The following is a 2,865-nucleotide window of genomic DNA, read 5'->3' on the forward strand; positions in this document are numbered from 1 at the left end:
CCTTCCTTTCAGCATTGCTGTAAACATGCAAAGAGGCAAGAGCTGTAAAATCATGAGCATAGAGCCCATCTTGGAGCTAGTGCAGGATATGCGGTAGACGCTGAAGAAGGGGATCATCTGTATGTTCTACTTTATGGATCTATTACGCATTTCCATCCCTTCTCTTACTTCACCTTCCTCATGTTAGTAGATAAATATCATTATACCCATTTTACAGAAGAGGAAATAGAATGGTTAAATAGCTTGCCTACAAGCTAATCTTAAGATGAGCGCCCATTCTACAACATTACAACTCTTTTTTCCTTCGTTTCCCTTTAGGTTAAATCTAACTTCCACCAATAAGCCCCCTCCCCTTCCAGACCCTCAGCAGCCAGGCAACAGGCCGCTAGCTGCATTTTCTCTCAAGGCAAACAAGATCCCTTTCCTTGCTGCTTTTGGCTCCCAGGAGACAGGCAGTCCTGTTGTCTAAGCTCCTCTAGCCACAGGATCTTGAGCACAAGCAACAGTCTTTAATTTTGTACAGAGTGAGCCTTTTGTCTTTAGTCCTATCTCAATTCTTATTAACGCAATTAAAATGCATTCCATTGACTAAGGTGTAAATGTGCTCCCCACGATGGGTGATTGTCTATGGAGAGACGCATAGAGAATAAATAGTCTTCTAAGTGGCTTCCAGGCTGCAGCCAAGCGGAAGGCTTGCTTTCATCAGTGGAGGTGTTCTTGCCGCATAAATCTCCGGCGACTACTTGGTCTCCGGTAAACACCACATTGGCATCAAGATCAAGGAAACGGAAGTGCAATGATGAAGTTCGCAAAGATGGGGGTGGCGTGTGTTCCCATGCAAACATCTTGGCTTGGTGCTCTGTAAGTTGGAGAGCTTGACGCTGAATTGCATGAAGAGGTCCAGCCTGCATCAGTTACTACATCAGGATCCAAAAGAACGTCCAGCACCCCCCACCTTCTGCTCCCCGGTTCCAGCAGACCCATGCATCAGAACAAAAGCTGTCGGCAGCACTTCCCCCACCTCCGAGCCAAGGATCACCTTAACCTTCTTCCCGTCTGCTCCATTCAGTCTCCACTGTTACATTCTGCCTCCACATTCAAGGCCTGGCTGTGGTCAGAGGTCGCTGAATGAATCATGTTAAACAAGAGCTTTGCTGATGTTTTAGAATTTCTAGGGTGACCTAATTCCCTGTATCTGTTTTTCACAACTTTTCTATTTTTTTTCTTCTTCTCTGTTGTTTATAGGAGCAAATCACTGGACGGAGATCAAGCAGTTTATGGTGCCAAGAAACCAGAGAGGCTGCAGAGGCTCAGAGCACCATGGAAGAAAGCTTTCTGCTTGCCAGCACCGTCCCCAACTGCCCCTGCTGAGGGGCTGCCTTTGGAGCTGGCACACGGGATCCCTGGGGTCAGCACAGGGTGGCCCATGCATACACCCAGCCCCAACAGGACGCCTGGCTCAGTGTTGGCAACAACCGCCTCCCCAGGGACCCCTCTATGCCCTGGCCTGGCTGCTTCCCCAGCCTCAGCTCCAATGGGCGGGGGGGGTTCCTTTTGTTTCAGCGTGCAGGTGACCTTATGCTGGTGTCTCATAGAATAAAGAGAATGTGTTCGTGGGAGAAACACTGGCAGGATAAGACTTCCTGCCTGCACTGTGCTCTTCAGAGAGCACGTTCCTATTTTGAGCTCTTTCTTTCTTGCCACTGCCCTGCCCCAGCAGGAAAGGACCTCTGCACGTTCTCATTCTCCGGTTCTGCAGAGGCTGAATCAGAGACTGGAAGGCTAGGGCACCGGTTGCGCTTCTATTCACTTCTAATGTGAGCTTCAGAAACTTCCAGCCCTTGCATACCCACTCTCTCCCTTGGCCCTCCTCCTAGATTCCCACAAGCTAGACAGGGCAGGATTCCTACCCGACCCTGGATGAGGAAAGTGCGATCAAAGCTCTGAAGGACTTGTCCAGGGTCGTGGAGCTCATCAGTAGAGCAGCCCAAGCAGAAACAGATTTTTCTAAGTCTAAAAAACGTGACAATGTAAATCAGAAAGTTTAAGTTGCATTCTTTCTTTCCATCACACTTTAAGTGTGGGATTATTTGCAAATCACCTATGGTGACTCTCTATTACTCCTATTTTATCTGTTTGATAGACCCAGATTTTCCTTTGTGCATTCCTTGAAGTGAAGCCCTTGGATGAAGCTAGCTCCCACTGACTCGGGAATAAAAGCTCTTACCAGGTACCTTGTGATTCTAAGTGCTTCTGGCCCATCCAGGCATTTAATGGGTACTGGTACCATAATCGCCACCACCACCACCACTATCATCATCATCATCATCATCACCACCACCACCATCATCATCATGGTCATCTCCCACCCCTGTAGACCTATGAGGATAAACTGGCAGATACTTTAGTTAGCCTGTGCAAGGTCAGCAGAGGAGAGGCAGGAATGTTGAGGCTCAAACTCAGGGCCTCTGCTCACAGTCTTGGCTTTACTCTCTGCCTCGTCCCAAACACACCTTGCTTCTTCTCCCACTGTGTCTGTGAAGGGAGAGGGAAGGATTAGATTTTAGAGGCGAGAAGCACTGAGCCAATGACACGACGATCCTGGATTACCCTACTTAGAGGCATAGATGGGTTGGAAGCCTAACATTTTCAGACTAATTTTCAAGAAGCTTCATCCAAGTACTTAGGATGAGCCAATGGCAGAAGAAATATTCAGAAGTAAATCCCCTAGACCTGCTTCTTAAATTTTAATGTACATGCAAATCCCCTAGAAATGGTGTGGGAATGCAGATTCAGATTCAGCAGGTCCGGGTGGGGCTGAGGCTCTGTATGGCTAACCAGGGTGATGCAGAAGTTTCTGGTCTG

Source organism: Homo sapiens, chromosome 10, assembly GCF_000001405.40.
Source record: "Homo sapiens chromosome 10, GRCh38.p14 Primary Assembly".
NCBI lineage: Eukaryota > Metazoa > Chordata > Mammalia > Primates > Hominidae > Homo > Homo sapiens.